The 13441-nt window shown below is 41.6% G+C and overlaps 1 long non-coding RNA gene across 1 annotated transcript in view; it reads left to right on the top strand.

Moving 5' to 3' along the window:
* Nucleotides 1-2076: 2076 nt before the first annotated feature.
* TLR8-AS1 (TLR8 antisense RNA 1) overlaps nucleotides 2077-13441 on the top strand; it is a 40484-nt gene continuing 29119 nt past the window's right edge. Inside the window, exons 1-2 of the long non-coding RNA NR_030727.1 lie at nucleotides 2077-2199; nucleotides 3043-3159. This is a non-coding gene — a long non-coding RNA (TLR8 antisense RNA 1). The remainder of the gene's footprint in view (nucleotides 2200-3042; nucleotides 3160-13441) is intronic.

Genomic DNA, 13441 nt, shown 5'->3' with positions numbered 1-13441 from the left:
CAGTCAAAGGGGGCTGTTCTCTGGCGGGCAGGAGTGGGGGTCACAATGTACTCAGTGGGGGAGCTTTTGAGCCAGGATGAGCCAGGAGAAGGAATTTCACAAGACAATGTCATCAGTTAAGGCACGAACAGGTCATTTTCACTTCTTTCGTGGTGGAATGTCATCAGTTAAGGCAGGAACCGGCCATCTGGATGTGTACGTGCAGGTCACAGGGGATATGATGGCTTAGCTTGAGCTCAGAGGCCTGACATTCCTGTCTTCTTATATTAATAAGAAAAATAAAACGAAATAGTGGTAAAGTGTTGGGACGGTGAAAATTTTGGGGGGTGGTGTGGAGAGATAATGGACGATGTTTCTCAGGGCTGCTTCGAGCGGGATTAGGGGCGGCGTGGGAACCTAGAGTGGGAGAGATTAAGCTGAAGGAAGTTTTTGTGGTAAGGGGTGATATTGTGGGGTTGTTAGAAGAAACATTTGTCATTTAGAATTATTGGTGATGGCCTGGATACAGTTTTGTATGAATTGAAAAACTAAACGGAATAAGAGAAGGAGAAAACAGGTATTAAAGGACTAAGAATTGGGAGGACCTAGGACATCTAATTAGAGAGTGCCTAAGGAGGTTCAGCATAGCCTTGCCAGTAAAGATTATTTATTTACTTCAAGAGTTTAGAGTGGCAGTTTGGGGATAGCACCAGGAGATATCAGCTGTGATGTCTTGGAGAAACAGTGTAAACCGGCAGTGTAAACAAGAGCAGGGCATGTATGAGTAGTTGAGAACGGTGAATAGGAGTATGACTAGACAGAAGATAGTAGGGATGACAAGTTTTTTGGGGCACAGTCTAAGTTGGTCTGGTGTCTGGAATGAGACTGGGGCCTAATAAAAAGGAGCGTCTATACAGGAGCTCAAATGGGCTGTACCCTGTAGCATTCTGAGCACAGGTCTGACTTCTGAGAAGGAAAAGTGGTAAAAGTATTGTCCAGTCCTTTTTAAGCTGGTGGCTGAGCTTGGTGAGGTGTGTTTTTAAAAGACCTTTAGTCCGTTCTACTTTTCCTGAAGACGGAGGACCGTAAGGGACATAAAGGTTTCCTTGAATACTAAGAGCCTGAAAAACTGCTTGGCTGATTTGACTAATAAAGGCTGGTCTGTTATCAGACTGTATAGAGGTGGGAAGGCTAAACTGAGGAATTATGTCTGACAGAAGGGAAGAAATGACTGCGGTGGCCTTCTCAGACCCTGTAGGAAAGGCCTGTACCTATCCAGTGAAAGTGTCTACCTAGACTAAGAGGTATTTTAGTTATCTGACTCGGGGCATGTTGAGTAAAGCTAATTTGCCAGTCCTGGGTGGGGGCAAATCCTCGAGCTTAATGTGTAGGGAAGGGAGGGGGCCTGAATAATCCCTGAGGAGTAGTAGAATAGCAGACGGAACACTGAGAAGTTATTTCCTTGATGATAGATTTCCACAATGGAAAGAAAATGAGGAGAGATTCTAAGAGGCAGGCTAGTGGCTTGTACTATAGCATAGCCTGCCTTTGCTGGTGTGTGGCGATTAGGCCTGGTGGAACTGCCATCAATAAATCAAGCGTGATCGGGGGAGGAACAGGAAAGAAGGAAATATGGGGAAATGGGGTGAATGTCAGGTGGATCAGAGAGATACAGTCATGGGGGTCAGGTGTGGTATCAGGAATAATGTGGGAGGCCGGATTGAAGTCTGGGCCAGGAACAATGGTAATTGTGGGACTTAACAAAGAGTGAGTACAGCTGAAGGAGCCGGGGAGCAGAAAGTATATGCATCAGGTATGAGGAAGAAAATAGATTTTGGAAGTTATGAGAAATGTAGAGAGTGAGTTGAGCATAGTTTGATTTTTAGGACCTCTAAAAGTATTAAAGCAGCGGCAGCCGCTGCCCACAGACATGAGGGCTAGGCTAAAACAGTAAGGTCAAGTTGTCTGGACAGAAAGGCTACAGGGTGCGGTCCTGGCTCTTGTGTAAGAATTCTGACCACACTAACCATGCCTAGGAAGGAAAGGAGTTGTTGTTTTGTAAGGGATTGAGGTTTGGGAGATTAATCGGACACGATCAGCAGGGAGAGCACGTGTGTTTTTATGAAAATTATGCCAAGATAGGTAACAGACGAGGATGAAATTTGGGCTTGACTGAAGTAATGGGGGCTGCCTGTGAAGCCTTGCGGCAGTACAGCCCAGGTAATTTCCTGAGCCTAATGGGTGTCAGGGTCAGTCTAAGCGAAAGCGAAGAGAGGCTGGGATGAAGGGTACAAAGGAATAGTAAAGAAAGCACGTTTGAGATCCAGAACAGAATAATGGGTTGTAGAGGGAGGCATTGAGGAGAGTATATAGGTTTGGCACCACGGGGTGGATAGGCAAAACAATTTGGTTGATAAGGCGCAGATTCTGAACTAACCTGTAAGCCTTGTCTGGTTTTAGGACAGGTAAAATGGGGGAATGGTAAGGAGCGTTTATAGGCTTTAAAAGGCCATGCTGTAGCAGGCGAGTGATAACAGGCTTTAGTCCTTTCAAAGCATGCTGTGGGATGGGATATTGGCATTGAGCGGGGTAAGAGTGATGAGGTTTTAATGGGATGGTAAGGGGTGCATGATCGGTCGCTAAGGAGGGAGTAGAGGTGTCTTATACTTGTGGGTTAAGGTGGGGAGATACAAGGGGAGGATGTGAAGGAGGCTTTGAGCTAGGGGAAAAGGTGGCAATGAGGTGTGGCTGTAGCCCAGGAATAGTCAGGGAAGCAGATAATTTAGTTAAAGTGTCTCGGCCTAATAAGGGAACTGGGCAGGTGGGGATAACTAAAAAGGAGTGCTTAAAAGAGTATTGTCTAAGTTGGCACCAGAGTTGGGGAGTTTTAAGAGGTTTAGAAGCCTGGCCGTCAATACCCACAACAGTTATGGAGGCAAGGGAAACAGGCCCTTGAAAATAAGGTAATGTGGAGTGGGTAGCCTCCGTATTGATTAAGAAGGGGACGGACTTACCCTCCACTGTGAGAGTTACCTAAAGCTTGGCATCTGTGATGGTCTACAGGGCTTCTGAGGCAATCAGGCAGCGTCAGTCTTCAGCCGCTAAGCCGAGAAGATCTGGGAAGGAGTCAGTCAGAGAGCCTTGGGCCAGAGTTCCAGGGTCTCTGGGAGTGGCTGCCAGGTGAGTTGAACAGTCCGATTTCCATCCAATTTCCAGTGGGGTCCCGCACAGATGGGACACGGCTTAGGAGGAATCCTGGGTTGCGGGCATTCCTTGGCCTGGTGGCCAGATTTCTGGCACTTGTAGCAAGCTCCTGGGGGAGGCGGTTCTGGAGGAATGCCTGGCTACTGCGGTTTAGTCGTTTGGAAGTTCTTGTGTGCTGGAGATGTGGCTGGGGTTTGTCTCACAGTGGAGGCAAGGAATTGCAACTCAGAAATATGTTGCTACTTGGCTGTCTCTATTATTGTACACCTTGAAGGCGAGGTTAATTAAGTCCTGTTGTGGGGTTTGAGGGCCGGAATTTAATTTTTGGAGTTTTATTTAATGTCAGGAGCGGATTGGGTAATAACATGTATATTGAGAATAAGACGGCCTTTTGACCTTTTAGGGTCTAGGGCTGTAAAGCGTCTCAGGGTTGTTGCCGAACGAGCCATGAACTGGGCTGGGTTTTTCATATTTGATGAAAGAGCCTAAATGCTCACTGATTTGGGAGACATCTGATAAAGAAAAAGGAGCATTAACCTTGACTATGCCTTTAGCTTCAGCCACCTTTTTAAGAGGAAATTGCTGGGCAGGTCGGGGAGGGCCACTCACGGAATGAAACTGTAAACCAGACCGGGTGTGAGGAGGGGAGGTGATAAAAAGATTATAGGGTGGAGGAGCGGAGGCTGAGGAAGAATTGGGACCTAGCTCGGCCTGGCAAGGAGCAGCCTGGGGAGGAGGGGAGAGGTCAGATGGGTCTGTAGAAAAGGAAGATTAGAAAGACTCAGCAACACTTGGGGTTGGGACTGAGGGGACAGGCGGGAGGGAAAGAAGGAAGATTTGGGACAAGTTGCACTGGGCACAGAGACTAGGGAGAGACCAATGTGTAAAACAATGCTTGGAAGTCAGGCACCTCAGACCATTTGCCCATTTTATGACAAGAATTATTTAGATCTTGTAGAATGGAAAAATTGAAAGTGCCATTTTCTGGCTATTTGGAACCACTGTCAAGTTTGTATTGGGGTCAAGCGGCATTGCAGAAGAAAATAAGGCATTTAGGTTTTAGGTCAGGTGTGAGTTGAAGAGGTTTTAAGTTCTTGAGAGCACAGGCTAAGGGAGACGGAGGAATGGAGGGTGGAAGGTTGCCTATAGTGAAGGAGGCAAGCCCAGAGAAAAGAGAGAGTAGAGACATGGAGGGAAGGGGTTCGAGGGTTCTTAACCTCCAGAAAAGCGGGAAAGGGGTCGGGGCACGGAAATAAGGGGTTGAGGTGCAGAGATGAGAGGTCGGGGCACGGAAATAAGGGATTGGGGATTCTTGCCCCCTAGAAAAGCGGGACTTGCCACTAAGGGTGAAGGAGAAGGGGTTGAGGGGTTCTGGCCCCTCCCCCAGAAAAGTGGAGAAGGGGTAGAGACACGGAGAGAAGGGGTTGGGGTACTTGCCCCTCCCACAGAAAAGCGGAACTTGCCGCTAAGCATGAATGACCAAGGCAGGCATCCCTGGGTGGTCTGACACCGCTGAAACGTGGGTGAATAATCAGAGAGGCATCCCTGCAATGATTAAACACCAAGGGAAGGCTGCCTTCCCAGTCCGTGACCGGCACCAGAGTTTTGGGTCCATGGATAAAGCATGTCTCCTTTGTCTCTACCAGAAAATGAAAGGAATTGAAATTAAGAGAAGGGAGAGATTGAAGTGTGGCGCCAAGATTGAAAGGAGAAAGAGGTTGAGGGATAGTGAGGGAGGTTGGAGAAGAGAGTAAAAAGAGGCCGCTTACCAGATTTGAAATTAGTGAGATGTTTCTTGGGCTGGTCGGTCTGAGGACCTGAGGTCGTAGGTGCATCTTTCTCACAGAGCAGAGAGCAGGAGGACAGGGGATTGATCTCCCAAGGGAGGTCCCCCGATCCAAGTCACGGCACCAAATTTCATGCGTGTCCCTGTGAAGAGACCACCAAACAGGCTTTGTGTGAGCAACAAGGCTGTTTATTTCACCTGGGTGCAGGTGGGCTGAGTCCAAAAAGAGAGTCAGCGAAGGGAGATAAGGGTGGGGCCGTTTTATAGGATTTGGGTAGATAAAGGAAAATTACAGTCAAAGGGAATTGTTCTCTGGCGGGCAGGAGTGGGGGGTCACAAGGTACTCAGTGGGGGAGCTTTTGAGCCAGGATGAGCCAGGAGAAGGAATTTCACAAGACAATGTCATCAGTTAAGGCACGAACAGGCCATTTTCACTTCTTTTGTGGTGGAATGTCATCAGTTAAGGCAGGAACCAGCCATCTGGATGTGTACGTGCAGATCACAGGGGATATGATGGCTTAGCTTGAGCTCAGAGGCCTGACAATTGGGTTTGACCAACTCTATCCAACTTGATCAAATCTGAAGGAAAGTTCCACATTACGGGGAACAAGACCTCTGAATTGGCTAAATTCCACAGCTGGAAAAAAAAAAAAAAAAAGCAGGGAGAAGGAAAAACAGTCCAGCAAAAGGGGATAAAAGAGAAAGGTTCTTGATTTTGACTACCCTGAGGGCTTTATTTACATAATAAGGCCAGTTTTTGTTAGCCAAGCCAAACTGAAAGAGTAATGGCTGTCGCCCCATGCAGCAGTTCCATAGCTAAGCTTCTGCCCCCACTTTTTTTTCATCAAGACAGTCTGGGTTTGGTTTCTAAAGCCCTTTCTGGTTTGATATTTGTGTTACTTTTGAAATATCAGCAATTTATCCTAGTTAAAATATGGTAATGAGATTAAAAAGGTTTTTTTTTAAATGGAGCTCAATGGTTAAAAGTCAGTTTAATTAAAAGCTAATATCCAAGATGATGATGATGATGATGATGTGTGTGTGTGTGTGTGTGTGTGTGTGTGTGTGTGTGTGTATTTAAAAAGGTTGTTATGGTTTTTTTTTCTCTCCTAGGACCTTGTTTTTTTTTTGAGAAAAAGTTTTTTTTCTCTTCTCAGTAGACTGAATTCTGTTTTCGCCATTTACTTCTGCTGTCTCTACTTTCTTTTGCCACCCTCTGCTGCATGAGGGAACCAATACAGTTTCTAATAGCATGGGATTCCTTAAAGAAAACAGACAGTGCCAGACTCCCTTTTGGGGAGAAACCTCTGTTTTTCCTTATGGAACACAAAGAGCGTAAAGAGACAAGTTCATCTCAGATCTTAAACTGCTTGTTTTTTTATTGTGTTACCTGATTTCTTTCTTTCTTTTTTTCTTTAACTAAAATAGTTATTATAACAGAGGTTTCTCTTGGGTGTTTAAAGTAAGGAAGAGTATAGTTTAGACACTTAAAGAAATATCTTTTTTTTTAAAAAAAAGTATACTGTAAAAGCATCATGTGTTCTAGTCCCATAATAATTCTCGCTTTTTGGAGACCCAGGATTCAATGGGTGCTCTGCTCAGAGCTCAGAGATCCAGTTAAAAGATAGAGACTAAATGTATTTAATAGAACTACCTATCTAAATAAAATTTATTTCCTTATACAATCCTGATAGATTTCTATAAATTTATGTTTGATTTGGCATTTGTTTTTAATCTCCTAGCACCACCAGACTCTCTCTCTCTACCTTGAGATATAAATTTCAATATCTGATTTTTCACCTGAGAGCTATTCCTTTGATATGCAAATTTGGGGCTATCTAGCTGACAGCTACCTAGGGTAATAAAATGGGTCATCAAGAAATTGGAAGTCTAAAATAGGAGGAAAAAGAAGAGGTCTTATGAATCTATAAGGTCTATCTGCATGTCTAATATATCTATGTATTTATGTGTCATGTATATAATGTTTCACTACTAAAAATACACCAACAAGCTCTAATTAATTGGCTTAAAGGAAAAAAAAGCGCTTAAATCAAATTTTCTTTTCTTTGAGACAGAGTCTTGCTCTGTTGCCCAGGCTGGAGTGCAGTGGCATAATCTCAGCTGACTACAACCTCTACCTCCTAGGTTCAAGTGATTCTTGTGCCTCAGCCTCCCAAGTAGCTGGCAGTACAGGCGTGTGCCACCACGGCTAATTTTTGTATTCTTGGTAGAGACGGGGTTTCACCATGTTGGCCAGGCTGGTCTCGAACTCCTGACCTCAAGTGATCTGCCTACCTTGGCCTCCCAAAGTGCTGGGATTACAGATGTGAGCCACTGCACCCAGCCAAAATCAAATTATCAGAAAAAAATACTTTAAGCCAAATGCTTTTTCAAGTTCATATGACTCAAGTAAATTTTTAGTAAATAAGCTGGTTTTGAAAGTATTCATGAAACAGAATTAGAAATGGCTTCAGAATTGTCAACATACATTATTGTTTAGATTTATTGGTAAAGTGGTTTTATATTTTATCGCTGCTACATGTTAAAATTTGGCATGAGGGTTGTAAAGCTATGAATGCAGCCCAAAGGAAAATTATCTTTATGTAAACTTTGATAAATCATTTAATATTGTTCAATTAATGAAAACAGCTAAATCCTGAGTTATTGGCAAAAAAAAAAAAACACACCAAAAAAACTATTTATCTAACCTTAAGGTTCTCACTTAGGAAAACCTGAAATTCACAGGTTATAAAATGGTTAACAGGGAAATAACTTTAAATGATAACTATCACAGTTTTTATAAGTAATCTGGTTAAACTATGTTAAAAATTAATTAGGTAAATGTAATGAGATAAATGCTTATAAATAAACTTATAAAATTTAAAATCTAAAGTTAAATAATAGATATTCATTGAATGTCTGGGTCATTTCCAATTTTTTTAAGTGATAAGAAAACATTTTTTCTAAAAAAAAGAAATGTGTTCTTATTTAAAAGAAAATAATTTTTGTCTAATTCAAAGTTTATTTAAAAGTTATTTATAAAACAAAGTAATGGTAACCAGTAAATAAAAGCAATGTAAAAAAAGTTATAAATGTAAAGAGGTATTTTTGGCAAGAAAGGTTAAAAACAAAATAATTTTATATGAGAAAAAATATTGTATGGTAAATTTTTGTCCTAGAATAAAATGACTGGTTGTTTAAGAAAGAGATATGTTCAGGACAATCCACAAAGTCCAAGCATGTCATGAATATCATGAATGGCCTGTGTAAGCTGTAATAAGGTTTGTAAAAAGAGAATTTATGGAAAAAAAGGGTCTTTATGATCAAGTTGCCTAAAATTAAAGGGAAATTATTTATGATGGTCTTTCTAGAGATTGGGCTTTAATATTTAAAGAGCACTTATACACTAAAGAATTGGGTAGAACAATGGAATTTTCTTTTTTTTTTTTTTTGAGACGGAGTTTTGCTCTTGTTGCCCAGGCTGGAGTGCAGTGGCTTACTGCAACCTCCGCCTCCCAGGTTCAAATGATTCTCCTGCCTCAGTCTCCCAAGTAGTTGGGATTAGAGGCATATGCCACCATGCCTGGTTAATTTTGCATTTTTAGTAGAGACAGGGTTTCACCATATTGGCCAGGCTAGTCTCGAAATCCTGACCTCAGGTGATCCACCCACCTCAGCCTCCCAAAGTGCTAGGATTACAGGTGTGAGCCACCACGCCTGGCCTGGAATTTTCTTAAGGTATTGGTTTATTCTTAATAAAATTACCAGAGATTTTAATTTTTTTGAACCCAAAGTTCAACTTTTTTGTGTCTTGCTATTTTCAGCTTTCTCTCCCTTTTTAAAAGGCCTGAAATAATAACTCTATCCTTCAACTCATTTTCAGTTCCTGTAAGATTTTTTTTCCCTTAGGTTCTAACTGTTTGTTGAAGTCTGATGCTAAAAATGTTTTATAAATGTCTAAAGGAAATATTTTATTCCAACATAACATTCTGTGCTCTTGGCTTTAAATTGTTCTATGAATCCAAAAATTTTCACTTATTACCCAAGAAACACTCTTCCTATGTCTGATTAATTGATGTACCCTTTTCATTAGTTTGACTTGCAGGTTATCTAAATGGACACCCATAGGAACAGCAATTGCACTGCAGAAGGTCTTTTCTTTTGCCTTTTGGTGACTGGTCTAACAAACAAATTTTACATTTTATCAAAATAATTCCTATGTCATTGTTACTAACTTTTGATTTGCTTAGAAAAAAACTGAGACTTTAAAAATTGTTTTAAATTAAGATTATCACATCCATGTAACTTTCTGTATTTTGCTCTTAAAGTCTTTGTGCCATTAAGTTTCAAGGCTTTGACTCCTGGGTCTAAAAAAGACACCAAGTCCTGCTAAATCTTAAACACTGACACCAGTTAAAGCCTCATCTTCAGACCTGGTAGAAGATGCCAATCAAAATAAGCTGTGTTTGTGAGGCACCAATCCAGAAATTAAAACTATTCAACTCCTCAAGGCCCAGGGACTACCATGGAAGAGGATGGTGTAAGAGATTGTAAAGGCCAATTTTGAGAGATAAAATTAGTTCAGTTTCTCTATAAATTAACCATTAATATTGAAGGTACACTGATGCAAGACCAGCATATGGGCCCCTGTGTCAGATTAACAAGTTTTCTTGGAATGTTAACCCACTCCTTAATAAAAGGTTATAAAAGGGTTTATGGAAATTATATTTTACAGTCAAAATGATTACAATTTTTTTTTTTTTTTTGAGATGGAGTCTTGCTCTGTCGCCTAGGCTGGAGTGTAGTGGCACGATCCCAGCTCACTGCACCCTCTGCCTCCCAGGTTGAAGCAATTCTCCTGCCTCAGCCTCCAGAGTAGCTGGGATTACAGGCACCTGCCACTACACCCAGCTAATTTTTGGTATTTCAGTAGAGATGGAGTTTTGCCATGTTCGCCAGGCTGATCTCGAACTCCTCTTCCATGTGAATTGTATATTCAGTGAAAGGCTGATCAGAGACCCAAAATAATGCAACCTTTTGTATCTTATCTACCTATGACCTGAAAGTCCCCTCCCCTGCTTCGAGTTGTCCAGCCTTTCTGGACCGAACCAATGTACATCTTACACATACTGATGTCTCATATCTCCCTAAAATGTATAGAACTAAGCTGCACCCAAACCACCTTGGGCACATGTTGTCAGGCCCTCTTGAGGCTGTGTCATAGGTGTATCCTTAACCTTGGCAAAATAAACTTTCTAAATTGACTGAGGCTTGTCTCAGATATTTTGGGTTCACAGAGTAATGCAGATAGGGAGCCACTCCCATCTGGTGTGGCTCCCTATGTGCATTTGGGTTCGCAGAGTAATGCGAATAAGGAGCCACACCTTATCTTTGGACTGTGTACATGTGAAAATTAAATGAGCCTTCCTTTTGTAATGTTTCATATTTTGTGATCAGAACATGATAATCGTGTGTTCAGATTAGTGGCTAACTTGAAACTTCTGGCTGTTGGAGGCTCGGGAGGTACGCAAAGCTCTCCTGATAAGTCAGAGGAGCAGGAAAGCCAGAAAAATCCAGCCGTTGTGGTTTAAGAACCAGTCAGCACGTCTTTGCCAAAACTATATCCCCTCAACAGATCTGGTGCATTGCTTAAATGAACATCATTAGAAATGCATTTGTTTGGTTTTAAGATATTGCCATCAGTAAACAAACCATGTAAATCTCTGGAAAGGTTAATGTATGCATCAGTTACATAATACACATATTTATCAGATCACTTTCTAGAATTTTATTCCACAAACATTGATTAAACAACTGCTAACTAATACGTACCGTACTTTGTGCTCTGGAGGATACAGGCATGAGTAAACTGTGGCCTCTGCCTTCCAGGAATTTACAATCTTCAGTCCCCTACAGAATTTACAGAGGAGGGAGATCAAGCTACTAACTCTGACCAAGATAAAACAAAGAAGTGCCATGATACAGGAGCAAAGTGCTGTCTAAGGTGGAGGTAGAAATTGTTGATTTTGAGTTGTGCACTTGGGGGATGCTTAGACCAGTGGTTCTCAAAGTGTGTTCCCCAATCAGCAGCATCAGCAGCACCTGGTAACTCACTGGAGCTGCACACTTGTCAGGCATGCCCCAGACTGTGTTTTAACAAGCCCTTTAGGTGATATAGGCCGAATTTGAAAACCACTGCCTCAAAGAGAAACTGATGTGAGATAGACACCTCAAGATAAATACTTGACTGACTCCTACCTGCATCTTTCCCCACTCACAAGGCCTTGTTTCTTCTCTCTCCTTCCCAATTCTTTCTTCTTTTCTCTTCCCCACCACCAGACGTTGAACCACAGCTCACAGATCTGCTCACTCTTGGCCTCTTTTTAGCCTATGTGCTGAGCCAGGAAAAGAAATGCCCCTCAGGGAATGATGCAGATTTTGTCTTTCTTGTTTTCAAGGGGAATACTTCCAGATTTTTCCCATTCAATATGGTATTGGCTATGGGTTTGTCATACATGGCTCTTATTATTTTGAGGTATGTTCCTTCAATACCTAGTTTATTGAGAGTTTTTAACATGAAGGAATGTTGAATTTTATCAAAGGCTTTTTCTGCACGTATTGAGACAATCATGTGGTTTTTGTCTTTAGATCTGTTTATGTGATTAATTACATCTATTGATTTGAGTATGTTGAACCAACCTTGCATCCCATGGATGAGGCCTACTTGATTGTGGTTGATTAGCTTTTTGATGTACTGCTGGATTCAGTTTGCCAGTATTTTGTTGAGGACTTTTTTTATTGAGACAAAGTCTTGCTCTGTCCCCTGGGCTGGAGCGCAGTGGTATAATCATGGCTCACTGCAGGCTCCGTCTCCTGGGTTCAAGTGATTCTCATGCCTCAGCCACCCAAGTAGCTGAGATTACAAGCCACCACACCCGGCTAATTTCTGTATTTTTAGTAGAGAGGGGGTTTTGCCATGCTGGTCCCAAACTGCTGCTCTCAAGTGATCTGCCCACCTTGGCCTCCCAAAGTGCTGGGATCACAGGCATGAGCCACCACACCCAGCCTGTTGAGGATTTTTGCATCAATGTTCATCAAGGATATTGGCCTGAAGTTTTCTTTTTTTGTTGTGTCTCTGCCAGGTTTTGGTATCAGGATGATGCTGGCCTCATAGAATGAGTTAGGGAGGAGTCCCTCCTTTTCAATTTTTTGGAATAGTTTCAGTAGAAAGAGTCCCAGCTCTTTTCTTCTTTGCACCTCTGATAGAAATCAGCTGTAAATCCGTCTGGTCCTGGGCTTTTTTTTGGCTGGTAGGTTATGTCTTTTGTTGGTGTGTGTGTGTGTGTGTGTGTGTGTTTTGATGAGGTGATGCTTTTTGGTGACTCCACAACAAACTGGATGTTAGGAAAGAACATTTAAATAGAAATAGAAAAATTACTACATCATGCTCTCATTTTCCTTATTTCCTTATTTTTAAATTTTATTCTCTTCTTTATATCTACTAAGCAGTCAATAATGAACATCTCTATCTATATATAAATACTCCTCTACATGTGTCTATATATGTACATTATACATACATTCACATATTTCATATTGGTTTCCAGTATAAACAATATCATCTCTAGAGTACTCAACTTCGGTTGGATAGGGTTTGCTGATTCAAAGGTGGAAATTCTCTCAAGATCAGAGACTAATTGCTTCAGTCACTTCCACTGGATTTAACATCTTTGAAAGTACCATATTCCCTAATAAGTCCCTAGAGAGCTCATCCAGCCACAGCCAAGGTTAGCCCACTCAATGGGAGGATTATGTGTGTTTTCAGTTTATGTCAAGTGCTGAAATTATACTTTATATGGCTAATGATGCTTTAGAAATGAATATTAACCTCTCCACCCTGTACCAAAGGAGAAGCTATCATTTTTAGTTTTATTATTTACCGCTTCTGAATCATATTCTGCCTTGTTGTCACATCTCTCTTCAGAAGCAATAATCTCTCCTCTAGAGACCTAATAGGACCAGTTCAAGGAGCTAATCATCTTGATATAAAGGCCTCAAGGGACATGGCCTAGATTATTGTGGTTTTTTTTTCTGTTTTTAAAACAGAACAATTCATGTCAATATGGTGACTATCATCATATACCTGGGAACATTTTCAGGGGTTCATTAGGCTGGGTAAATCTCAGGCCTTCAAATCTGCATTTCCAAAGAGAGAGAGAGAACATTAGCTCTAGGAGATGCCCTGCAAAAAAAGAAAAAAAGGAATCGTGATCAAGTAAGTTTGGGACACAGTGTAGTATAGTTCTCTTTTGGAGATCACAAGGCATATGAGAAATACTATAGTAACTAAGATGTTTCCAAACCTGTTTGAACTCAGGAGCGTTTTTAATGGAGTACTTACGTATGGAATTGACTTGGGGAAATTCTGCTTTGAATGGTGGCATAGAACTAGTGAACTAGCACATGCTGGCA

The sequence above is a fragment of the Homo sapiens genome, chromosome X, assembly GCF_000001405.40.
Source record: "Homo sapiens chromosome X, GRCh38.p14 Primary Assembly".
Classification (NCBI taxonomy): Eukaryota; Metazoa; Chordata; class Mammalia; order Primates; family Hominidae; genus Homo; species Homo sapiens.
This window is presented reverse-complemented; position numbering and strand designations above follow the sequence as displayed.